General features: G+C 36.6%; 1 long non-coding RNA gene across 3 annotated transcripts in view, besides 1 other annotated feature; it reads left to right on the top strand.

Moving 5' to 3' along the window:
• The window catches only part of LOC105371308 (uncharacterized), a 512,336-nt gene that overhangs the window by 203,427 nt on the left and 281,858 nt on the right, over nt 1-27,051 (top strand). The gene's annotated exons all lie outside the window — the stretch shown is intronic.
• Nucleotides 25,628-26,231: an enhancer, noted in NCBI's record as "H3K27ac-H3K4me1 hESC enhancer chr16:63422293-63422896 (GRCh37/hg19 assembly coordinates)". NCBI's record gives its function as "activates a minimal SCP1, AML or CMV promoter by ChIP-STARR-seq in naive H9 embryonic stem cells {active_cell/tissue: H9 hESC(naive)}" and the evidence as "EXISTENCE:reporter gene assay evidence [ECO:0000049][PMID:30033119]".

Genomic DNA, 27,051 nt, shown 5'->3' with positions numbered 1-27,051 from the left:
TCCATGGTAGTAGTGTACTTAAAATGTATGGGTTAAGCCACTACTTATAATGCACAGAAGTTACAATGTTGACATAGTGCCTGCTGTCAAGGAACTTATTTCTCGCAGGGAAGCTAAGGAATATTAACAGGTATAAGAAACAGGTAACCCAGTCTTATGGTAAGTTGAAATGCATATTAGAGGTAATGTTAAATTGCTCATGATAAAGAGGTAGTGGGAGATAAAGGAGGAAATTAACCACCAGAGAAATATCATGTGCTAACACCAAGAGCTAAGAGATTATGGTTCACCTATAGGATGTGGCATAGCATAGCATAAAAGTTGTTGTGCCCCCTGTTAGCTCCCACAGGGATGATGCCAAGCTGAGAAGGCCTAAGAAGAGACCCAGAGCCAACAAAGGAGACATACGTTTTATTAGCAGGAGACTTACAGACAGGGAGATCCAGTGTAGGCACGCTGGACAGGGGAACCACATAGCCCAGTGGTGATCGGCGGGGCAAGAGTACCATAGTTGCTTGCAAAAAGCATGCACTTTATATGGCATTTTCACTTAGCACCCTCTCCTAACAACCTCCAGCTGGCAACCTTCATTTAACCCAAAACAAAGAGCTTGGCTCTCTTGTATGTCCCACCATTCACAGAACAGGCCAGGAGCTCAGATAATCCTCATAGATACTCTGAGTTGACTATTCTCAGATTCCTTAGGTTGGAACTCTAAGCACACAACATTCAGGTGCATCTTCTATTCAGGGTCATTCTTGGAGTCTACTTAAGTTAGGTTATTGTTGTCAGCTATGTCTACCATCCACAAGGCTACTTAAACTTGTTCTTCCAGACTTTGGTCAATATCTACTAGCTGCATGTTCTTGATAATGTAATTCTTAGATATAGGTTTCTCATCAGTGAAAGAGGTATATCAATAGCAAATTAAAGAGTTGTTGAGCGATTAAAAGAGATATTTCCTATAGTATGCTTAGTATAATGGTAGCTATTATTATTTTATAATTAAGATTGCTGCTGTTAGCTTATTATTATTCAGGGAACTATAGTATGTGACTGGCAGGGAATGGGTTAAATATGAACCCTCCATGCTGACATTTCACATTTTGTTCCTATGGCAACCCATCCATCAAAATGACACTATATATATGTGTGTGTGTATGTATGTATATATGTAAACATATACATACATAAATTGTGTTTTTATATGTGTGTGTGTGTGTGTGTGTATAAAATATATACTGTCCAATTGTGAACCTGTGAGAAGTCGGATGACATTGCCCAGGGCTCCTGCACCCCTTATATATGCTACAATACATCTGTACCTCATACCTCCAGGTATCAATCACAGCAGGTGTCTAGCTTCAAAACTAGGCACTGATCCCAGACATCAAGTGAAGTGGGGGATTTCCTACTCAGGATACAGAGATCAGCAATTGATATTTTCCTACACTCTCATTGTTAGAGCAACATAGCAAGAAACTACAAGTCCCTCTATTTTTTTTAAATATTAAAGCAAAAATGAACTTTATTATTTTGACACAAAGAGACAGAAAGAAAGGTATAATCATTCCAATTGTGTTGATGGCTTTTCTTTACAATCATCATCTTCAAAATTTTTTTTAATTCCTCAAAAGATTCGGATACTTTATGATGCATAATATTTGCTTTTCATCCGTACAAAAACTTGACAAAATTAAAATTACCTCACGTCCTTGTCAACTTGTTGCTCTTTGCTTTGCTTTTAAGGAAGATGATTATGTATTTGAATCTTGACCAGTCTACCTCCTGCATTGTGTTTTCAAACTCATATTCAGTAGCCACATTGCCTGTGGTTAAATCCTGACTCAGTGATTTGCTACCTGAGTAATCTTGAGAAGGCATTTAACTTCTCTATGCCTCAATTTATTTATGAACCAAAGAGGGGCGATAATGACACTTGCCTCAAAAACGTTTAATACATATTAAATGAGTTAGATCATGTTAAAAAAATTGAGATCGTTGCCTGACACATGTTGAGATATTCTATTTCTCTAAATTGGTCACTTAAAATTATATTGTCTATTTTCTCATCTCAAAAAAGACAATAAAAGGCCTGCCTGCAGAGTTATTGGAAAGCATACAAATCTTTGATAAATGCCATTTACATTAAAGAGAACATAATAAGTACTCAATGAATATTAATTTTATTTATGAGGCACGTTAATATTTATGTCTTAAGCAATATTTCATCTAAAACTGTTCATTGAGAAAGCTTTAGATTTGGACCTTAAATACAATCTAAAAAAAGTGTGTGATACTAGTATCCCTTCTTCATACACGATAGATTTAATTATTGGACCTAATCATTTCAGCTTCCTTGGTAATATTGTAAATCCACATCCTTGCCATGGTCTTATGGTTCAAAGAGTACACCAGCCAGCCTGGGAGACTGGGCTTGGCCATGTGACTTGTTTAGGTCAATGGAATGTTAACAGAAATATGTAAATTGTGCATTTTGGCTTACTCTCTTGAGCCTTTTCCACTGCCTTAAAATATGTCATGAGTAGCTGCTGCTCCTCCAATCTAATCCTCATAATGACATACATGGAACAGAGCCACACTAGTTGATCTTCAGGTCTATAACTCAGTAATAAATTATTCTTATATGCCATTGAGTCAATGTGTTTGTTTTTTTATGCAGATTTTTTGTGACAACAATTCATACTTCTACGTTATTAACAAAGAACATAGCTGTAGCTTCCAAGGAAGCTGCTTACATATTTTTACTAAGAGAACACCCCTTTACGTATGGAGTCCATAACAGTTTCCTCATGTAATTTGGCCCTCTGGCTTATAAAGAAGCTAATTTGTCTCTGAGTTTTTCAAAAGTACTTGAAAAACTAGCACATGTGGCTAGTGATATGAGTCAAAAGTATGGTAATGTAAATGGAGTTCTTTTTTTCTTTCTTATTTTTCTCTTTCTTTGTACATCTGATTCATAATATGCACTCTCAGAAGATAACTGTACAAAATGTGTACATATTTTCACAAAACTTTGCTGTATTAATTTTTTCTCTTACGATAAATATAATTATGTAACTTTAAACTCCTGGAGAATATGGCATATTCCACAGTAGTCAGTGATGTTTGTTCAACATTTCATGTTAGAGAAAGGGTTTTAGCTCTGAGAGTTAAGCTATTTGCCTTTTGTCTCATAACAAATTGGTGGCAAAATAAAGAAAAATTTAGGTCACCTGACTCACAATAAAGTGTGTTTCCTTTTATAGTGATTGTTAAATGTTAAAGAAAACAATAAAATCACATCTTTTATTTTGATTGTCATATTGTCACTCTGACATGGTTACAGATGGACATTTACATTAGCCAACAGTTTGGCAAAAGAATCTAATGAAAAGCCTATTTTGTAATAAAGTGTTGAAAATCTCATGTAGTATATTGAATGTTGTAGCGAAAGTGAAAAACAGAATGGTTGTAAGGGTACCCAAAGTATGGTTTCTACTGAATGCATATGGATTTCGCACCACAATAAAGTAGAAAAATAGTATGTCAAACCACCATAAGTTGGGGACCATTCTTATATACATGTATTTTTATGTTCTTATATATAAAATAACACATATGTATCTTATTTTAGAAATATATGGCACCTCCTCAATTATTTAAATCAGCAATGTCTCTATTGTCAAATTTATCCAAATGGCCAAAATTGTTCACATTGAGTGACATTTTTTTCAATTGTGGTAAAATACAAAATTTACCAATTAATGATTTTTAAGTATACTGACATTAATTATAGTCACATTATTGTGCAATCATCATTATCATCAGTTTCCAAAATTTTTAGTCAACCCAAACAGAAGCTCTGTAGCGATTAAGCAGTTGTCCTCATTCTGCCTTCTTCTCAGCCTCTCATCACCTTATTCTACATTCTGTTTCTGTGAACTTGACTATTCTAGATATCTCACATGTGTGATCATACAAGTTATATTTTTTGTGTCTGGATTATATTACTTAGCATAATGTTTTGAAGGGATGTTGCATAAAAGTAAAAGTAGTAATATATAAGGAATATGGCACTGTTAATTTATATAGATTCTTCAACATGGTTGATGACAAGAAAACACACACATATAGGCACACACAGAATGTACTGATTTGTTATTAATGAGGATTTAAGTTATTTTTCTTATTTTATGGGTATTAAGAATGTTAAATATCTTCTTTTTCATGTGTTAGATTCAAATATCTCTGCAAAATAGTTAACTCAGTTTATACTCTCATAAATAGTAAGCAAAATTTCCCACATTACTTTGTATTTTCAGGCCACTAATTTTAATTAACATGTAGGATGTGAAATAAAATCTCATTTTTTGTTAAAATAGGAATTTTGTTTGAAGATTACTGTTTCCTTCAAATAAATTCAGGTAAAATATATATGTTTTTATTTTTGGGGAAGAACTGGATTGTGCATTGCCTATTTTTATATTTTTATTATTTTCATTACATTAATATCCGCTCTAACTGCCTTAACTCTTTCTTCTCAATTATTTGAGTTTTCCAAATTATTTTTCTAGGCTTTTAACTTGAATATTAAATTAATTTTATAAAACTAATTTAGCTTTGTTTATTGTTTGCCTATATTATTCAATCATTGAAATGTGTTATTTTTTAACTTGAAAGATTTGTGAATTATGAAAAATTTTAGCACCATCAGTGGCTTTTGATATGCAATTCTAATCCATTTACAATTAATTTAACAATTCATTATTTTACTCATTTTTACATATTTTAATTTTATTTTTGCCACATTTATTTCCTTCTTTTATTTTCTACTTAAATTGACCATTTTTCATAGTGCTTTTCCTCTTGTATTTATTACCTACAGAATGTATTTTACATTTTACTGAATATCCACATACTTTAAAATATATTCTAATTTACATTTTCTTTTCTGAAAAATGTATTCGCGTCAAAATTGTACTTTCTCTCCAAATGAGAAATACTAGGTAATTTATATGTCAATTGAAAACTAAGGATTCTGTGAACTGTAATCTTTGCCATCTTATCCACAAAAGGCATATGTGTTAAACACTTTCTGGGTTAGGCATTATATTTTCATCTACCATTCTTCTCTACGAATTATTTCTCTTACACATTCCCATTTATTTCCAAAGAAATGAATCTCTGCTTACTGTGCATTAGATAACTCATCAGTGACAAGAACTAGTCATCATAACCACATTGCCTCCCTAGTCCTTGAGAACATAATGGGAATAAGCATGAGATCAATTTCTGGCCAATGGGTCATACATGGAAGTCTAGTTTAAAGCTTCAATATTATTTTAAATTCCTGTATAAAAGACAGAACTTTATTAACTGAAAACTTTTTATCTTTTCCTCTTTATTACTACTTATAACCTGTTGTGTAAGAAGCTGCAGGAACCATTTTGAAATGATGAAATGACATTTTTAAGTGCAAGGAGTCAACATAATTTAACTGTTTGGAAAGTGGATGCAGCATGTGGCAAAGCCAGAAGATAGAGTCCATGATTTTAATAACTTCCTTAAGAAACGGCAGAATATTCAATATGTCTGGAGTCTGTATGTGTGTGTACATGCAGATGGCACACACACGAATGCAGGATAATTAATGACTTCAATATTTAAACCTTTGTTGATCAGTCACTTTTTTGCTTTCAAATAAACATATTCTGAATAGACAAAATTTCTACATAGCTAGACTTTCTTCTAAAAGTTTATTTTTCAGGCCGGGCGCGGTGGCTCACGCCTGTAATCCCAGCACTTTGGGAGGCCGAGGCGGGCGGATCACGAGGTCAGGAGATCGAGACCATCCCGGCTAAAACGGTGAAACCCCGTCTCTACTAAAAATACAAAAAATTAGCCGGGCGTAGTGGCGCGCGCCTGTAGTCCCAGCTACTTGGGAGGCTGAGGCAGGAGAATGGCGTGAACCCGGGAGGCGGAGCTTGCAGTGAGCCGAGATCGCGCCACTGCACTCCAGCCTGGGCGACAGAGCGAGACTCCGTCTCAAAAAAAAAAAAAAAAAAAAAAAAAAAAAAAAAAAAAGTTTATTTTTCAGCTATTTGTAAAGTCTAAGGACTGTGAGCATTATATATAACCTGGGCATTCCAAGCAAAAAGTCATTGTGGAGTGTGAGGTCAGCCAAAAACAAACAAAAAAAAATGTAAAATTGACAGATCCAAGTGTTCATCTTTTCACAAACATACTAAAAAATTGAAACAAAAAGATAATCAACTTTGTCAGAAAGCTGGAAAATAGTTAACCATTTACAGAAAACAAGTAAACACTGAGTCAAGAACAAGGTAACTTAAAAATTATACAAAATATTTGCAGCATTTTACTTGCCCTAGTCCTACTCCCTTCAGCAGTGGTCTTGAAGATGGTATCCTGAATTTCCTGTGTGGTACTCTGGCCCCAGTTCTTGAGATGCCAAAGAAATTATGTTTATTTGTCTGTTTCAACCTGTCTGGGAATTTCCTAAAGGACTTCTGCAAGCTACGTGCCTTTTTTTTTGCCTAATTTATAATTTTTCATGTTTAAAAGGAGCTAGGCAGAGGAAAGTCTTTAAAAACATTGTAAGGTAAATTAACAATCCACTGCAACTTGGTGCAAAATATTACAACTGAGGTAAACTATAGCCATGCTGAAAGCCGGAGAGAGTTGTTCTTTAGAAATTAGGTAATTGAAAAGCACATGCACATACCAAAGAAATTAGAAGGCAACATTCATTCCCATGGCTACACATATGCTCAGAAAAGACCTGAGATGACCCTCAGCTTTCCAAGTGGTTTATCTTTAAGCTGTGCACAAGCAGGAAGAGAAGGCTAAGACAGAGTTGCAAATGATCTGTCTAGGCATTGAAGAAGTGTTCCAGCACAATGTCAATTTACAAAGATTAGAAGAGATACATGTATATAAGTATGTATGCATCTATCTATCTATCTATCTATCTATCTATCTATCTATCTATCTATCTTTCTATCTATCTATCAATCAATCATCTAGCTAGCTAGCTAGCTATTTATCTGTCTTTTTAATCTATCTTTTCTTCTTTTTTTTTTCTTTCACTGCAGGGGTTCAAGGAATTTTATGAGAAAATACTAGCTAGACATGAGATAAAGAAACATATACCTCAGAGACCACCCATAACAAATAATACGGACAGTAAAAACAAACAAAAAAGTCTTTAAAAAATACAACCACAAAAGAAAATCTGAAGATCTAAAGAAGGGAGAATCATATAATTTTTATAGTTAGAAATTACATTTGCAATGTCAAATTTTCAAAGACAAATTATAAAGCATGCAAAGAAAGAAGAAAATACGGCCCAATAAGAGGAGAAATGAATAGAAACTGCCCCTGAGGAGGCCAAGCATTAGGCTTACTACACAAAGACTTTGTATCAAGTTTCTTAAAAATGTTGAAAGAGCTAAAAGAAACTGTAAATAAAGAGCTAAATTAAAGAAGAAGAATGGGATTTCAATAATTATTTATTCTGGGGAGATGAAAATGTTTTCTGAAACATTTCATAGTGGTTGTGTTACACAACATTGTTAATCTACTAACTGCCAGCGAATTGAACATATTAAAATGGTTCATTATATTTTATTTGAATTTCATCTCTACTTTAAACCAAACAAGCATTTTGCAGTTTTATTTATACTAAGTTTTGGCAGATTTAAACTAGATTATTGTCTCAATTTATCTCCACAATCCTTTTTTTTTTTCTATCTGAAAAACTACCTTTCCTGTTTTCATGGATAACTTTCTGTGTTTTAGGTTCTATTCCTAGATCAACGAGTTTCTTCCCTGACAGTTATCCTCTATTGGCTTCAATATTCTCCCTAAAAATTACAGCATTTGACTTAACGATCACAAATATATTGTTTATATGAATCTTTGTATATACATAAAAAATCTGGGTCTATGCTTCTCCCTCTGCAAGTGTTAACTAGGATAATTTTGGGCAAATTGCTTAACTTACCTGAGGCTGATGTATCTTATATGCTACCTTTATTTTACTACTGCTTGAATAAAAATTTCTCTAGGGCTCTTTTTTTCAGATCAAACTGTATTATGTGAATTTTAATAACTAAAAATCTATAATATGGTGATGTGACATTAATATGCTTTACTCATTCATTGACTACTCTGTACCTATCCTTCACTGTCTCTGGAAATCCAAATAATATTGAAAACAAACATGTCTTTTAATCCACTGGGTCTCTTGTTGTCACTTACTGTATAACGATGATGGTGAGGGGGAAAATATTTATTACTGTAATTTATATATCTTTAAGAAAAAGACCAATAGATAAGGGCAATTTTGTCTGCTATGTTATCTGTACTTTTATTTGAAGAGGCAAAATTCAACAAGGATGATGTAAAACTAGTTTGTAAATCCATTATTTGCTGCACAAATATGTAGATAGCATTTGCATATTGAATGAAAACAAGCAAAGTTTTCTGAAGAGATAATTCCATTGGACCCATTTAAATTACCCATCCAGCACATTGTCTGCTGTGTAATAGATATTGGGTGCTTTGAATTATTTATAACTGAGTAGTCATCCCTCCAAGCATCTCTAAAGCAATCATCTAAGAAAGCAATTTGATTGGACTCAACTTGTGAAACATTTGTTATTATTTATTGTAGACTACATACTAGATATTCAGGGTATGAGATCAGTATTATGGTGCAGAGAAAAGCTGCACACAAATGTTATAGTATCACAGACAGAGTTAGAAAGTAAAATTTCACAATGCAGAAAAAAGTTATTTAGGTAAGATGAGACTACCACTACATTGGTGACCGGTGCTTTTGAGTTATGTGATATTTGGGAAGTTAGTTAATATTTCTGAGTCACAATTTAGATCTCTACAAGTATAGGCAAAACACAAATTTATATATATTGAGATAGGACTTTTTGCTAGACTCTATAACCAGGCTTTGGCATTAGGAAGCTATACTAGACTTAATACCTATCTTCAAAAAAGCTTCAACATACTGGGAGAAAAAGATATACATAAATTGAAATAAATAATGATACTCCTGTAAGGGAACTTGATCATTTGATATTTTTTCCAGATATAAGTGTCACCAAATCCAAACCAAATAATTGAATAACCAAGTATATTTATGAAGACATTCAGAGATGTACAGGCTTCAGGGGAAGTGAAAAAAATGATTTGACGTTTCTTCAAAGTTCTAGGTTCCTTAGAGCTTTTTACTCTTAGAATAGCTATTTAATTATTTGGCTGGTCTTCTCTCATGTTTATAATATGGTTATTAATAACAATAGGAGCCATGAGTTTCCCTGTACATGTGTGGTGCACACAGCAAGCCTGGATCCTACTGAATATTTTATTTATTTCAAAAGAGGAAGTTCTTTTCCCTGCTCAGAAACTCCAGCATCTCTTATTTACTCATTTATCTGACTTGGCTTAACCCTGTCATCCTCAAACCAATCTGTAGAAAGATGTGAAGAGAGAGAGAAGTTATGAGGTTTGGACTCATCAACTGAAATAGAAGAAATAATTGGAAAGAAAAGCACAAGGCAATCACATGAGTTTGGAGATAACAGAAAGGCATATCAAATTTAGTCTTGAGGGATATCAGAAGACTTCTCAGAATGTGGGACTGCAGATAATAAGTGAAAAGCATGAGTCAGCTAGTCGCAAAGTGGGATGGGGTCACAAACTGCTTGCACCAGAAGAATAAGATTTAACAATAATTTATAAAGCATTTTGGAAGTAAAATAAAAAATATTTTGAATACACATAATTTTATTTAGCATGTAAAGTTCTCCTATCCATTTGAATAAAATAATTTTGAAATAGGGTGAATTCAGACAAGTAAAAATAATCTAAATAAGATGCATGCCACAACTCTTGGAGCATCAGCAGCAACAACAGCAGCAACAGCAGCAACAGCAACAACAGTGGCACAACACCAGATTTCTCATGAACACTGTTCTTCATGGAGAACTTGCAAACTTTTAAGTAACCTGAAGATATAAACCCAGGAAGCACGATTTTCTGAGGCATCCTCCGTATTTAGGACTCTCAGGAAATGAGGAATCTTGTTTTCAATAAAACAAGTTTAAAGTGATATGGATATAATATTCTAGTGAGAAAATTCTAGATGCCAAAACTGAGATTAATGTCTATAAAGATTAAGAGAATAGAATAAAGACTAGGAGGAGGGGAATAAACAGTCTCTGAGAAATATGGGACACCAAGTTAGAGTAGGTATTTAGACAGACATGAGCAGGGCAGGAGAGGGCCCCCAGAAATGGCAGGCAGTCATAGGGTGATGGTCAGATCATAAAACTGTCCCTCTGAAATGACAAGTGGTCACAACTGGCTCCAAGACGAAGAGGTAGAAAACAACTTCCTCAACAGGTAGCAAACATCTGGAGCCAGCAAACCTCAAGTCCCTGATAAGGTCTTAAGCATGCGCAGTAGGCGGCAAAATGGCAGAGTTTTAACTCGTACATAACCTTCCTCTGCGGGCGCTGGACCAGAAGGGAAAAATCGCCCCAAGTGAGCAAGTGCAGAACTTCACTGAACACACTGTGCATGCGGCCCCTCCCAAGTGCTGGCCGACCATTGCCATGTGGCAACTGAGCAACAGCCCGCCCCAAGGTCCAAGGGAGGGAGCAAGTGAAGAGAAGCAAACCCCCATAAGAAAGCCAATGTATAAAAATCCCAAGCGGCTAAGGACAGTGACTCATGCCTGTAGTCCCAGCATTGCGGGAGGCCAAGGCTGGTAGATCTCTTGAGCCCAGGAGTTTGAGACCAGGCAGGGCAACATGGCAAACCCCCAACCCCAACCCCCTTGCCCCGCCTCCCCTCGTCTGGCCCTGTCTCTACTAAAAATACAAAAAATTAACTGGGCCTGATGGGTCGTGCCTGTGGTCCCAGCTACCCGGGAGGCTGAGGTGGTAGTATGGGAGTATCGCTTGAGCATAGAAAATTGAGGCTGCAGTGAGCTGTGATGGCACCACTGCACTCCAGCCTGGGTGACAGAGCCAGACCCTGCGTCAAAACAAACAAACAAAAACATTCCAAGCTATAAGCGGTGCACTCTGAAGTCCCCCACTTGGGCCTCTTCCAATTATACTTCTTTCAATAACCCTTTGCCTCTGATTTTAAAACTTGCCTAGGTCTGTCGGTCAAAATCTTTCTTGTGAGAGGACAAGGAAGAAGCTCGCTGGGACTTGCCGCTGTTTCTCCACTTGCCACCAGTAACAACCATAATAAAAATATTAGGAAAAGAGAAGAGATAGAAAAAGGAAGAAAAATATCCAAAGGAATATTGGCAGAAACGTCACAAATTTGATTTTTAAAAACATTAAAGTACATATCCTAGAAGCTCAACAAATTCTAGGTAGGATAGAGTGAAAGAGACCCACATGGGGAGACATCATATTCAGTTAGTGAAGCTATAAAGACAAACATAAAATCTTGAAAGCGGGAAAAACAAACAGTAAAAAACGTATCATGTACAAGGGGAACTCGATAAGATCATCAAAAACAATGGAGAGCAGAAAGTAGTGGGACAACATGTTCAAAGGGCTGAAAGTTAAAAATAATCAACTAATAATTTTACATTGAGCAATATAATTTTTCAAAAATGAAGCAAAGCGTTATGGTTTCAGCTCCATATAAAGCCATTTCTATCATCCTTGCAAGGATACAAAAGCAGAATAAACTAACTCATCAAATAAATGAGGTAGGGCAAGCCACCCTCAGGAAATCTGGAGTGACAGGAAAATAGATATAATCACAACAAAGTTATTCTTACCTTGAGCAGAAGCTACTGGAGCCATGAAATAATAAAAGCATTTAAATGGTAATTTTCTAAAAAATTGCTGAAAGCTGAATGCAGACTAGCATAAGAATTACCATCTCTTTAGGACCACAGTAGTCGAGGTCTCCACACTTTTTATGCAGTGTATATCCCGAAAACACCATAGTTTCTCACAGCAAAGAGCCAAACAAGGTCCACTCATGGCTGTATCAGGGAAAGGTAAAAATATCCATTTTGAAATATGTCCATGATATTCTCTGCAATAAAGTCTCAGTACCCAGAATAAAAGAATTTTCCAGAGTCTTATCTTAGAGTGAAAGGATATGTACCCAGCTTCAGTTCCCTCTAGCTTTCCTATATCACCTAAGAGGCAAGGGAAAAGATGCTTATGATGTGTGTTGCCAAGACACATGCCCACCAAAAGACTGAGATTTAATTAAAGGCTATAGGATTAATCTCCTCTCTAAATCTTAGCACCGTATCATCGGGGATCCAGTATTATAACGGTGGATTATAGCTAGAAGGACTGAGAGGTCCTGAATCTGATTAAGAAGGAGGTAAAATTAAAAACACCAAACAAATTTGAAGCAATTGATACCTACAGCTACAGAAATCATTAAACATAGCTCAACCGCAGCCAGATTAAAATGTAAAGGCCTTCATCTGTGTTCTTGTTACCCTGTAGATTACACCAGGTTTTCAACCAAAAATTTAAGACGATGAAAAGACAAGAAGAAATACAGTATAAAGAGACAAAGTGAATATCAATGTCACATTTAGAAATGATACAGATGTTGAAATAGCCTGTGGATAATATATGAAAGGCCGTAAGGGAAATTAGGAAACATGTAAGAGCAGATGGGTAACGTGAACAAAGATCTGAAAAGTTTAAGAAAGTTCCAAAAGAAAGACTTCAAATTATACTACAAGTTTATAGTAACCCAAATAACATGGGTTTATAGTAACCCAAATAACATGAGCCAAGATCACACCACTGGACTCCGGCCTGGGGACAGAGTAAGACTCTGCCTCAAAATAATAATAATAATAATAATAATAATAATAATAAGATGTAAAAATAAGTATTCTTGATGAAAAATGCGATGAAAATCGAGCCCTGTTTATAATAAAGACCATAATGCTTAACATTTTGTGAGTTATTGCTGTTTACCAATGACTCAAATTAGCATTTTAAACATGTTACTATATTAAATACTGCATTGGTATGATATCAGTTTACCAGTAAGAAGATGCCACCTTGGTATCATACCAGTGTATCAATAAGAAGCCTCAACAATGTAATGGTAAAAAATAAAAATATAAAAAAACTAGTCAAATTTTTCACAAAACTAGTAAGTGAATGGTAGGCCACAATTCCTACTGGTATTTGAAACCTGCACCCTGAACCGCTGTGCTCTTCTGCCTCTATCTTTGGAACAGTACTAAGAGAAGACACCTTGATTAAACTTACCAAAAAACAAAAAGAATAATAAAGTAACAGTGAGTGACTTTAAGCAATATTAGCTGGGGAGAGGCAAGTCTCTGTGCAAGTCGATATAGAAAATGACAGGAAAAAGTGTGTTCTCCTAAATAGGTGTTTTCTGTTTCTTTCCCCACATGATAGGCACATTCTGGTCTAGCTGCCCTTATTGATATAGGAGCAAGACTTCTCATCTACCTTTGTATTCCCTAACTTTTTTTTTCCTTCCACTCTTAGTTAACCCTGAGAGTCATCAAAGTGGTTCCATGCATGTGACATTCAACAAGTCTCTCAAGTATATTGAAGATAGTGTCAATTCTATCTTTTAAAAATTACTTCTGTTTGCCAGTTGCCTACATTTGCTGGCTATAAAACCACTTGAGGAGCAATAACTGCTGATTGTGAGAGTGGCTCTGATCGTATCCGAATGAGATCTCTAGATGCTCCAAAATTTTGAAAACCCTGGGAACCAGAAAGAAGAGAATTCCTTCCACTTCCATCCCACTGAGCCATATATTGAAAGTTGAGTTCCTCAACAATTTTTCTGCCGAAATCTTCAACATCCATATTGATCAATTTAATCTGCTTTGCCGCAAGGCTCACTTCAACATATAAATCTAAAAAAAACTTTAAGCTCTAAATTCTGATTCCTTTTATCTAAGGTTCTTCTTCACTACAATTATTTTTCTCATCTTATTTAGAGCAAGCTAGGTAACAAGCAAAGTGATAACATGAACGAAGACACGAACATATTGGTATTTGTTAGTGGAAAAGAGACGATGTTCGTGCTGGCAAAAGGAAGCCAACAATAAATATATTTTGGTATAAGAATAAAATATCATGAGTGTATATACATGAAGCCATTATTCTAAACTAGTCTTATGATAGTTAACAAAATTAATAAGAGAGAATCTGGTTATAGAATATTGAAGATGCAATTATTAGGCAGTAAAATCTTGACCTGTTTTATTCTGGAAATATTTCATGCTATAAACCAGTAAGTTGCCCTGTAATTCTTAGTTTTGCATGTGCTCATTAACTATTCTGGCATTAAAGCTATTCCAATGTTTTACTCTAGGAGTTTTATGGTTTCAGGACTTACGTTTAGGTCCTGATTCTATTTTGAGTTTATTGTGTGTATGGTGCAAAGCCGAGGCCCAATTTTCTTTCTTCCTTTCCTTTCCTTCCCTTTCCTTCCTTTCCTTTCCTTTCCTTTTCCCTCTCCTCCCCTCCCCTCCCCTCCCCTTCCCTTCCCTTCCCTCTTTTCTCTCTTTCTCCTTCCTTCCTTCCTTCCTTTCCATGCGGATATTCTTTTTTTTAAACACATGAAGAAGAAATTAACCTTTCCCCATTGTCACCCTTTTTGGAGATCTGCTCACCATAGATGTGTAGATTTGTTTCTGGGGTCTATATTTTGTTTCAGTGACCTATATGTCTGTCTTTATGTTAGTACCATACTGTTTTAAACCAGTAATCTTTTGATTACTATAGCTTTGCAGTATATTTTAAAATCAAGAATGCTGTGCCTCAAGCTTTGTTCTCTTTCAAGATTGCTTTAACTATTCTATGTCTTTTGGGATGCCATATAAATGTTAAGATTTTTTTTTATCTGTAAAACAAAATCCATTGGGATTTTAAAGGGGATAGCTTAGATTGTTTTAGTTGAAATAGTCACTTGAAAAATGCTAAGTGTTTTAATTTATGAACCTAGGATATCTTTCCATGTGTCTTTAATTTCTTTCATCAATGTTTTGTAGTTTTAAGTGTACAATTTTTTTTACCTTATTGGTTAAGTTTATTCCTAAATATTTCAGGGTTTTATTGATGCTCTTGTAATGGGATTGTTTTCTAAATTTTATTTTTAGATGGGCGTTTTTAGTGTATAGAATCATATTGGCAATTACTTATTGGATATGACACCAAAAGCACAGGCAACAAAAGCAAAAGTAGATAAGTGGGACTCATCAAACTAAAAAGCTTCTGAACAGCAAAGGAAACAATTAACAAAATGAAAAGTCAATCTGTGGAGTGGAAGAAAATATTTGCAAGCCATATGTTCGATAAGGGGTTAATTTTCAAAATACATAAGAAACTCCTACAATTTCAGAAAAAAAGAAAAAAAACTACAACAGAAAATTCAATAGCGATTGCCAGGTGCTGAGGGCTGGAGGCAATGAAGGGTTTTTCAATGGATGTAAACTTTCAGTTATACTAGATGAATAAGTTCTATAGATTTATTGTACACAATAGTTCTTAAATTTAACAATACAATATGCTGTGTTTAAAAATGGAATAAGTGGGTACATATTTTGTAAGTTTTCTGATCACAAATAATGGTGGGAAAGAGACCTGAGGAAACTTTGAAAGGTCTATTATGGCTTTGCTGGGGTTTGACTTGCTTATTTATCCTGTGCTGGAACCACTCTTGGGATGATTGGGATGGCTGCAGCCTGTCTTTGCATAATTTCTTCTCCGGCAGCAAGTCAGCCTGGGCTTGTGAACACAGTTGCAGAGGATTTCCATACAAAAGCCAGAGAGAGGAGAAGTTCCAATAAACCAACATTTTGGAAGTTTTTGCTTGCATTTTATTTGTAAATACTCCTTTGGCCAGTGCAAGTCACACAGCAAAGAACAAATTCAGAAGTTAGAGAAATAGATTCTAACTCCACATGAAAGGAACAGCAATGCTGCAAGGGACAGGAAGAAATATTTGGCCATTTGTAAAAAAACAATCTTTCATGGTGCTCCATTGATAAAATCCCTTGTCACTTTGGATTTCAATTTGAAAATATCTTCTCATTCTAAAAAGTCACAATCCTACACAAAACCATGGACCCTAAATAGAGGATTCTGGGTGCAACAAGTATTCAACCCAATGTGAGTTTTCAGAATTCTGTATTGATAGCTTTTTGTTGTTGTTGTTCTCTAAACATGCTGATTTGTTTCCCCATATTTCTGGATCAGCAGAAGAGGATAGATGCTCATATTGTTTATTTACAGGTATAATATCTTAATTATTCATCACAATATTTCCTAAGATAAGACTATATTTTCCAAAATGTATTTAGCAAAGTGAATGGTTACATTATTGTGGTTGCATAAGTATGTGGATTACTGAGTTAAAATTATGTAGGCTTCTTTATTGTAGAAATGCTTAAGAGATTTTGATATGCTGATGAGCATTATACTTTTCCAATGAGGAAATATAATATGCATTGTTTTCTAAACATGATTTCCATTTTGCAGATGAAGAAAATAAGGGCTAATAACTATTATTTGAAAAAGACTTTTGTTTTAGGGATGCAAGCAAAGGAAGCAGGGTGCCTTAGACACTGAGATAATGTTTTCTGTATGTTCTGTTGTGCCTAGTACACTATAAATGCTCAGTAAATATTAATGATGGGAGGCAGTGAGTCTTGATGATAAGGGTGAGAAACTGAAATCCCAAAAACTGTTTTGTTGCTTGTTTTATTATGACCTCAGATTAAATTGGGAAATATTGGCCCTTTTGAATAATTGTCCCAAATATTACATTCAAATAAAAGTGCAATGGAGAAAAAAAAGAAAAAGAAAAAGACTTTTGTTCTAGGCATTTGCATGTTCACAAACTAATTCAATGTTTACAATTGAAACAGGTGTTATTATAGTGATTAGAAAACTGATGAAATGAAAGATAAGAAAAGCTAGTTAACCAGCATGACACATGTATACATATGTAACAAACCTGCACGTTGTGCACATGTACCCTAGAACTTAAAGTGTAATAAAAAATTAAATTAAATTTTAAAAAAAGAAAATGATAGATTTGGGTAAAAAAAATATGGTCTGACTCAGAACACAACTGAATCAAAGTATCTTGATTTCAGATGATGCTTCATCTAACTCCCATCTCTAGCAGCCAAGGGGGACTTTGTTTGCTTCTCCCAAGTCTATAATTCTGTTCTGGCCCCAAGTAGGGCACTCATAGTGTGCATACTCATGTGATGCTTTCTTGCCAGGATGACTTGGAAGCATCCCATCAAGCATATACTCTTCCCTCCAAGTCCAATTCCCAACATTGCTCTCTAAGAACACTCTACACAGCTAGGCAGCAAGGCTTCATATTAATCATGTTTTCTAATTATTTATTTATTAGGACAAGGGAGCTGAACACCTGGCAACATTTACATTTGCAATTAGGGAGGCAGCCTCACTTTAGAAGAAGTCTGATTTTATTACGTGCCTTTTCTTTGTAACAGCAAGTTGGCTCGGTGGTGGAAAAAGTTATATTGACATAAACATAATTCATAAATTATGAAATACTGGGAATAGCCTTTTTCTTCTCTGAAATTGGTATATTTTGGACAAATTTTATACTTGAAAGTTATGAGGCAATTATTAGTGAGAAATAAACAGTATACTATTATATTAATCCCATTCTTTCACGAATAAATACATTTTAGTTGATCACCTACTGTATCCAAGTGACTATGACTGGCACTGTGACATAATATTCAGATTATGTTAGGATTGGGCCCTGTGTAAATATTAAGACTTGTATATCTGTATTCTTTAAAACAAACATGTAATAAACTACCTTCCAAAGGAGTGGGTTATATGTAATCAATTTCTGAGCCTAACTAAACACTCAGAGACTCCATGTTCTTACTATAAAATAGAGCTAGTGACTACATCATAGGTGTTTTTGAGGCTTAAAATCTAATTCATATGTGAGTCATACCCAAAATCAGTCAGCTGCTTGCCCTCTACTAGTGCATGGTAATCATGCAGATGAAAAGAGATAACCCATGGCCACAGGCTTTGATGTGAGAGGGGAAGACAAGCTACAATTAAAATTTGCAAAAATGTAAAGTATAAACTGATTAATATAATGAAAGCATGAAGTATCTATGAGTAAAAGGTAATTTTGGATATGGACATAGGAGTGAACATAGTCAAGTTTTCTAAATATACAGTATTTAGGAAAATAACGGAGATAGGATTAGAAATTTAGATAATGAATGGCTTTAAAATGAGCCTTAGGTGGCTGAAATTTATACTGTAGCCAAAATTATTCTATCAAGAGCCAAGACTCATGCTTTACCAGATTTAATTTAGCCATTGTGTACCTTGTGGGAAGGCCATTGAGATGAGACGAGAAAGCCAATTGGAACGTTGTATGAATGTAATTTCTTAGATAATGCCAGGTCCTCCAACTTCCTGGATTCACTCTAAAACACAAACTCCCCAAAACAGCATTTCTTTCCTTTGGAAGAAAATTTTAGGCTTCTTAGAACCAGCAGTTCTCACTCCATCAGATGTTAAAATTAGAATATTTCTGTCCTGCTGGAAGGACTTCAGGGTAGAGATAATAAGAATCCAAACAAGGACAATGAAAATAAAATTAAAAAAAAAAAGCATATGAAGACCCCATCTCCCATACAAGCTCTAGATACAGCCCTGTGTACAATTTAAGACTTGTACATCTGAAATCCTTAAAACAAACATCTGGTAAACTACCTTCCAAAGGAACAAATAACACTTAGGCTTATTTCTGAAACTACTCACAAATATATTGAATAGAGGGCACATTGAAACAAAAAAGGACAATGACAAATCAGCTGTGTTACTTTGGACAAACTGATTTACCCTTCATTTCTATGAGGAAAAATGTTAACCTATGGACATTATATATCAATAAATATATGAGGTCATGAACATTATATTAGACATACAATACATTTTCTATAAAATTATGTTCTTATGAAATAATATTGAATCTATGATTATATTAAATATATTTTATGGACCTCTGTTGACCAGAAAAATTTCAATAAAGTTTTTTCCACCATATAAAGAAAAAAAATCAATGAAATAATGACATGGAAATACTACATATTTATTAATCCATGTTATGCCCGAAAAATAAAAGACATAAGTCCTACCTGTAGTGAATGGAAAATAAGCAAATTTATTTTTACAGCTCAAGATTTTAATAAAGATGCACTTAAGAGAGATACCAGACAGCTGAGTTGTTCACTTGGTGGGGATCCAATTGCCCTACATGGGAAGTGCTAGCTACCTGCATGGAGAGCAGATGTTACCACTTCTACTTAATGTGGTAGCAGGAAGTTGGTAAAGATAAAAAGTCTATGCTATCTCTAATGATGTAATTTCTATGGTTTAGTAGCTTCTCAAATCTGTATACCTGGAGGAGACAAGAACACTTACTCATTACTTTCTTTGCTGTATCCACATACCACACCAACTTTAGTAGACTCTGAGTATTCATTTGCATCAATACGTGAATGCCAGCAAAATATCCTCCTCCTTTAAGGCACTGACTGAATTTCTGTAGACCTGACCTTCTTTTGGCGAGGTTATTCTACCCAAAGACAACACACCTGAAAACCTTCCCCTATGCTGCATGGCTTCTATATGGACAAGTTCTATGACTGCCTTTAACTTTATCTAGAATAATAGATAGTACCTCTGTATTATCTAATTTTAACCTCTATTATGATCTCTAAGAACATTACTTCCTCTTTTACAATGATTGGAAAGACTCTCAGTTCTAAAATCCCTCCTAATAAAGTCAGACTGGTTATACATCAGCTTTATTATTTCCAAACTATCTTATCATGATAACAATAATAAAAGTAATAATAATGATTGTTATCATTTCTCAAACACTTTATTTGTGCTAGGACATGTACTAAGTATTTTACCTATATGATCTGCTGTAATGGTAACTGTTATTGTCTAAATTTAAAGGTGAGGAAACTGAAGAAAAAAGTAATCTGGTAAATACATCACATCCAGAAGGAGACTAGATTGCCTCTAAAAGAGTAAAGACACAGAAGTGTTTCCAAGCAATACATAAGCTCTCTCTCAGGAAGTAGCAAGCCTCAACCCTGAAACCAGATTGCCTGTGTTTAAATTCTGGCTTCAAAAATAGAACCTCTCTAATACGTACCTGTCATACTTTTAAAAAATTTATAAGAGTTCCTACCTCATAGGGCACACCTTCGAGGATGAAATAAGGAACATATGTAAAGTACTGAGAATAAGTAGTAAGGGATAAGTACATTGGTTATTATTAATAATAATATCATAATTAGGAATCATAGCTAAGGTTCTTCTTTGATTTCATAAGTTAATAATATCGAAGAAGCAATAAGCTGTGAAGCATGAGGCTTTCTTTTTTTTTATTATACTTTAAGTTTTAGGGTACATGTGCACATTGTGCAGGTTAGTTACATATGTATACATGTGCCATGCTGGTGTGCTGCACCCACTAACTCGTCATCTAGCATTAGGTATATCTCCCGATGCTATCCCTCCCCCCTCCCCACACCCCACAACAGTCTCCAGAGTGTGATATTCCCCTTCCTGTGTCCATGTGATCTCATTGTTCAATTCCCACCTATGAGTGAGAATATGCGGTGTTTGGTTTTTTGTTCTTCCGATAGTTTACTGAGAATGATGATTTCCAATTTCATCCATGTCCCTACAAAGGACATGAACTCATCATTTTTTATGGCTGCATAGTATTCCATGGTGTATATGTGCCACATTTTCTTAATCCAGTCTATCATTGTTGGGCATTTGGGTTGGTTCCAAGTCTTTGCTATTGTGAATAATGCCGCAATAAACATACGTGTGCATGTGTCTTTATAGCAGCATGATTTATAGTCCTTTGGGTATATACCCAGTAATGGGATGGCTGGGTCAAATGGTATTTCCAGTTCTAGATCCCTGAGGAATCGCCACACTGACTTCCACAATGGTTGAACTAGTTTCCAGTCCCACCAACAGTGTAAAAGTGTTCCTATTTCTCTACATCCTCTCCAGCACCTGTTGTTTCCTGACTTTTTAATGATTGCCATTCTAACTGGTGTGAGATGGTATCTCATTGAGGTTTTGATTTGCATTTCTCTGATGGCCAGTGATGATGAGCATTTTTTCATGTGTTTTTTGGCTGCATAAATGTCTTCTTTTGAGAAGTGTCTGTTCATGTCCTTCACCCACTTTTTGATGGGGTTGTTTGCTTTTTTCTTGTAAATTTGTTTGAGTTCATTGTAGATTCTGGATATTAGCCCTTTGTCAGATGAGTAGGTGGCGAAAATTTTCTCCCATTTTGTAGGTTGCCTGTTCACTCTGATGGTAGTTTCTTTTGCTGTGCAGAAGCTCTTTAGTTGAATTAGATCCCATTTGTCAATTTTGGCTTTTGTTGCCATTGCTTTTGGTGTTTTAGACATGAAGTCCTTGCCCATGCCTATGTCCTGAATGGTAATGCCTAGGTTTTCTTCTAGGGTTTTTATGGTTTTAGGTCTAACATTTAAGTCTTTAATCCATCTTGAATTAATTTTTGTATAAGGTGCAAGGAAGGGATCCAGTTTCAGCTTTCTACATATGGCTAGCCAGTTTTCCCAGCACCATTTATTAAATAGGGAATCCTTTCCCCATTGCTTGTTTTTGTCAGGTTTGTCAAAGATCAGATAGTTGTAGATATGCGGCGTTATTTCTGAGGGCTCTGTTCTGTTCCATTGATCTATATCTCTGTTTTGGTACCAGTACCATGCCGTTTTGCTTACTGTAGCCTTGTAGTATAGTTTGAAGTCAGGTAGTGTGATGCCTCCAGCTTTGTTCTTTTGGCTTAGGATTGACTTGGCGATGCGGGCTCTTTTTTGGTTCCATATGAACTTTAAAGTAGTTTTTTCCAATTCTGTGAAGAAAGTCATTGGTAGCTTTATGGGGATGGCATTGAATCTGTAAATTACCTTGGGCAGTATGGCCATTTTCACGATATTGATTCTTCCTACCCATGAGCATGGAATTTTCTTCCATTTGTTTGTATCCTCTTTTATTTCCTTGAGCAGTGGTTTGTAGTTCTCCTTGAAGAGGTCCTTCACATCCCTTGTAATTTGGATTCCTAGGTATTTTATTCTCTTTGAAGCAATTGTGAATGGAAGTTCACTCATGATTTGGCTCTCTGTTTGTCTGTTGTTGGTGTATAAGAATGCTTGTGATTTTTGTACATTGATTTTGTATCCTGAGACTTTGCTGAAGTTGCTTATCAGCTTAAGGAGATTTTGGGCTGAGACAATGGGGTTTTCTAGATATACAATCATGTCGTCTGCAAACAGGGACAATTTGACTTCCTCTTTTCCTAATTGAATACCCTTTATTTCCTTCTCCTGCCTAATTGCCCTGGCCAGAACTTCCAACACTATGTTAAATAGGAGTGGTGAGAGAGGGCATCCCTGTCTTGTGCCAGATTTCAAAGAGAATGCTTCCAGTTTTTGCCCATTCAGTATGATATTGGCTGTGGGTTTGTCATAGATAGCTCTTATTATTTTGAAATACGTCCCATCAATACCTAATTTATTGAGAGTTTTTAGCATGAAGGGTTGTTGAATTTTGTCAAAGGCTTTTTCTGCATCTATTGAGATAATCATATGGTTTTTGTCTTTGGCTCTGTTTATATGCTGGATTACATTTATTGATTTGCGTATATTGAACCAGCCTTGCATCCCAGGGATGAAGCCCACTTGATCATGGTGGATAAGCTTTTTGATGTGCTGCTGGATTCGTTTTGCCAGTATTTTATTGAGGATTTTTGCATCAATGTTCATCAAGGATATTGGTCTAAAATTCTCTTTTTTGGTTGTATCTCTGCCCGGCTTTGGTATCAGGATGATGCTGGCCTCATAAAATGAGTTAGGGAGGACTCCCTCTTTTTCTATTGATTGGAATAGTTTTAGAAGGAATGGTCCCAGTTCCTCCTTGTACCTCTGGTAGAATTCGGCTGCGAATCCATCTGGTCCTGGACTCTTTTTGGTTGGTAAGCTATTGATTATTGCCACAATTTCAGCTCCTGTTATTGGTCTATTCAGAGATTCAACTTCTTCCTGGTTTAGTCTTGGGAGAGTGTATGTGTTGAGGAATTTATCCATTTCTTCTAGATTTTCTAGTTTATTTGCATAGATGTGTTTGTAGTATTCTCTGATGGTAGTTTGTATTTCTGTGGGATCGGTGGTGATATCCCCTTTATCATTTTTTATTGCATCTATTTGATTCATCTCTCTTTTTTTCTTTATTAGTCTTGCTAGCGGTCTATCAATTTTGTTGATCCTTTCAGAAAACCAGCTCCTGGATTCATTAATTTTTTGAAGGGTTTTTTGTGTCTCTATTTCCTTCAGTTCTGCTCTGATTTTAGTTATTTCTTGCCTTCTGCTAGCTTTAGAATGTGTTTGCTCTTGCTTTTCTAGTTCTTTTAATTGTGATGTTAGGGTGTCAATTTTGGATCTTTCCTGCTTTCTCTTGTGGGCATTTAGTGCTATAAATTTCCCTCTACACACTGCTTTGAATGAGTCCCAGAGATTCTGGTATGTTGTGTCTTTGTTCTCGTTGGTTTCAAAGAACATCTTTATTTCTGCCTTCATTTCGTTATGTACCCCGTAGTCATTCAGGAGCAGGTTGTTCAGTTTCCATGTAGTTGAGTGGTTTTGAGTGAGATTGTTAATCCTGAGTTCTAGTTTGATTGCACTGTGGTCTGAGAGATAGTTTGTTATAATTTCTGTTCTTTTACATTTGCTGAGGAGAGCTTTACTTCCAAGTATGTGGTCAATTTTGGAATAGGTGTGGTGTGGTGCTGAAAAAAATGTATATTCTGTTGATTTGGGGTGGAGAGTTCTGTAGATGTCTATTAGGTCTGCTTGGTGCAGAGCTGAGTTCAATTCCTGGGTATCCTTGTTGACTTTCTGTCTCATTGATCTGTCTAATGTTGACAGTGGGGTGTTAAAGTCTCCCATTATTAATGTGTGGGAGTCTAAGTCTCTTTGTAGGTCACTCAGGACTTGCTTTATGAATCTTGGTGCTCCTGTATTGGGTGCATATATATTTAGGATAGTTAGCTCTTCTTGTTGAATTGATCCCTTTACCATTATGTAATGGCCTTCTTTGTCTCTTTTGATCTTTGTTGGTTTAAAGTCTGTTTTATCAGAGACTAGGATTGCAACCCCTGCCTTTTTTTGTTTTCCATTTACTTGGTAGATCTTCCTCCATCCTTTTATTTTGAGCCTATGTGTGTCTCTGCACGTGAGATGGGTTTCCTGAATACAGCACACTGATGGGTCTTGACTCTTTATCCAATTTGCCAGTCTCTGTCTTTTAATTGGAGCATTTAGTCCATTGACATTTAAAGTTAATATTGTTATGTGTGAATTTGATCCTGTCATTATGATGCTAGCTGGTTATTTTGCTCGTTAGTTGATGCAGTTTCTTCCTAGTCTGGATGATCTTTACATTTTGGCATGATTTTGCAGCAGCTGGTACCGGTTGTTCCTTTCCATGTTTAGTGCTTCCTTCAGGAGCTCTTGTAAGGCAGGCCTGGTGGTGACAAAATCTCTCAGCATTTGCTTGTCTGTAAAGTATTTTATTTCTCCTTCACTTGTGAAGCTTAGTTTGGCTGGATATGAAATTCTGGGTTGAAAATTCTTTTCTTTAAGAATGTTGAATATTGGCCCCCACTCTCTTCTGGCTTGTAGGGTTTCTGCCAAGAGATCCACTGTTAGTCTGATGGGCTTCCCTTTGAGGGTAACCCGACCTTCCTCTCTGGCTGCCCTTAACATTTTTTCCTTCATTTCAACTTTGGTGAATCTGACAATTATGTGTCTTGGAGTTGCTCTTCTCAAGGAGTATCTTTGTGGCGTTCTCTGTATTTCCTGAATCTGAACGTTGGCCTGCCTTGCTAGATTGGGGACGTTCTCCTGGATAATATCCTGCAGAGTGTTTTCCAACTTGGTTCCATTCTCCCCATCACTTTCAGGTACACCAATCAGACGTAGATTTGGTCTTTTCACATAGTCCCATATTTCTTGGAGGCTTTGCTCATTTCTTTTTATTCTTTTTTCTCTAACCTTCCCTTCTCGCTTCATTTCATTCATTTCATCTTCCGTTGCTGATACCCTTTCTTCCAGTTGATCGCATCGGCTCCTGAGGCTTCTGCATTCTTCACGTAGTTCTCGAGCCTTGGTTTTCAGCTCCATCAGCTCCTTTAAGCACTTCTCTGTATTGGTTATTCTAGTTATACATTCTTCTAAATTTTTTTCAAAGTTTTCAACTTCTTTGCCTTTGGTTTCAATGTCCTCCCGTAGCTCAGAGTAATTTGATCGTCTGAAGCCTTCTTCTCTCAGCTCGTCAAAGTCATTCTCCATCCAGTTTTGTTCCGTTGCTGGTGAGGAACTGCGTTCCTTTGGAGGAGGAGAGGTGCTCTGCTTTTTAGAGTTTCCAGTTTTTCTATTCTGTTTTTTCCCCATCTTTGTGGTTTTATCTACTTTTGGTCTTTGATGATGGTGATGTACAGATGGGTTTTTGGTGTGGATGTCCTTTCTGTTTGTTAGTTTTCCTTCTAACAGAGAGGACCCTCAGCTGCAGGTCTGTTGGAATACCCTGCCGTGTGAGGTGTCAGTGTGCCCCTGCTGGGGGGTGCCTCCCAGTTACGCTGCTCGGGGCTCAGGGGTCAGGGACCCACTTGAGGAGGCAGTCTGCCCGTTCTCAGATCTCCAGCTGTGTGCTGGGAGAACCACTGCTCTCTTCAAAGCTGTCAGACAGGGATATTTAAGTCTGCAGAGGTTACTGCTGTCTTTTTGTTTGTCTGTGCCCTGCCCCCAGAGGTGGAGCCTACAGAGGCAGGCAGGCTTCCTTGAGCTGTGGTGGGCTCCACCCAGTTGGAGCTTCCCGGCTGCTTTGTTTACCTAATCAAGCCTGGGCAATGGCGGGCGCCCCTCCCCCAGCCTCGCAGCCTCCTTGCAGTTTGATCTCAGACTGCTGTGCTAGCAACCAGCGAGACTCTGTGGGCGTAGGACCCTGCGAGCCAGGTGCCGGATATAATCTCCTGGTGCGCCGTTTTTTAAGCCCGTTGGAAAAGCGCAGTATTCGGGTGGGAGTAACCCGATTTTCCAGGTGCCGTCCGTCACCCCTTTCTTTGACTCAGAAAGGGAACTCCCTGACCCGTGGCGCTTCCCAAGTGAGGCAATGCCTCGCCCTGCTTCTGCTCGCGCACGGTGCACTCACCCACTGACCTGCGCCCACTGTCTGGCACTCCCTAGTGAGATGAACCCGGTACCTCAGATGGAAATGCAGAAATCACCCGTCTTCTGCGTCGCTCACGCTGGGAGCTGTAGACCGGAGCTGTTCCTATTTGGCCATCTTGGCTCCTCTGAGGCTTTCTTTTACTTCTTAGCTTAAGCTGTATGCTAGAGAGAAACAATTTTTCTTTCTTTCTTCCTTTTTTTTTGAGATTGAGTCTTGCTCTGTCGCCCAGGCTGGAGTCCAGTGGCACGGTCTCTGCTCACTGCAACCTCCGCCTCCTGGGTTCATGACATTCTCCTGCCTCAGCCTCCTGAGTAGCTGGGAGTACAGGCACCTGCCACCACGCCCAGCTAATTTTTTTTTATATTTTTAGTAGAGATGAGGTTTCACCATGTTAGCCAGGATGGTCTCGATCTTCTGACCTTGTGATCCACCTGCCTTGGCCTCCCAAAGTGCTGGGATTACAGACTTGAGCCACCGCGCCCAGCCAAGTGAAACAATTTTTCATACAGTAGTCCCCCCTTATCTGCAGTTTTGCTTTGAGCAGTATCAGTTACCTGCATTCAACCATAGACCGAAAATGTTAAACTGAAATTTCAAAATAAATAATTTATGTTTTACATTGCATACCACGTAC

This window comes from Homo sapiens, chromosome 16, assembly GCF_000001405.40.
Source record: "Homo sapiens chromosome 16, GRCh38.p14 Primary Assembly".
NCBI classification, from domain to species: domain Eukaryota; kingdom Metazoa; phylum Chordata; class Mammalia; order Primates; family Hominidae; genus Homo; species Homo sapiens.
This window is presented reverse-complemented; position numbering and strand designations above follow the sequence as displayed.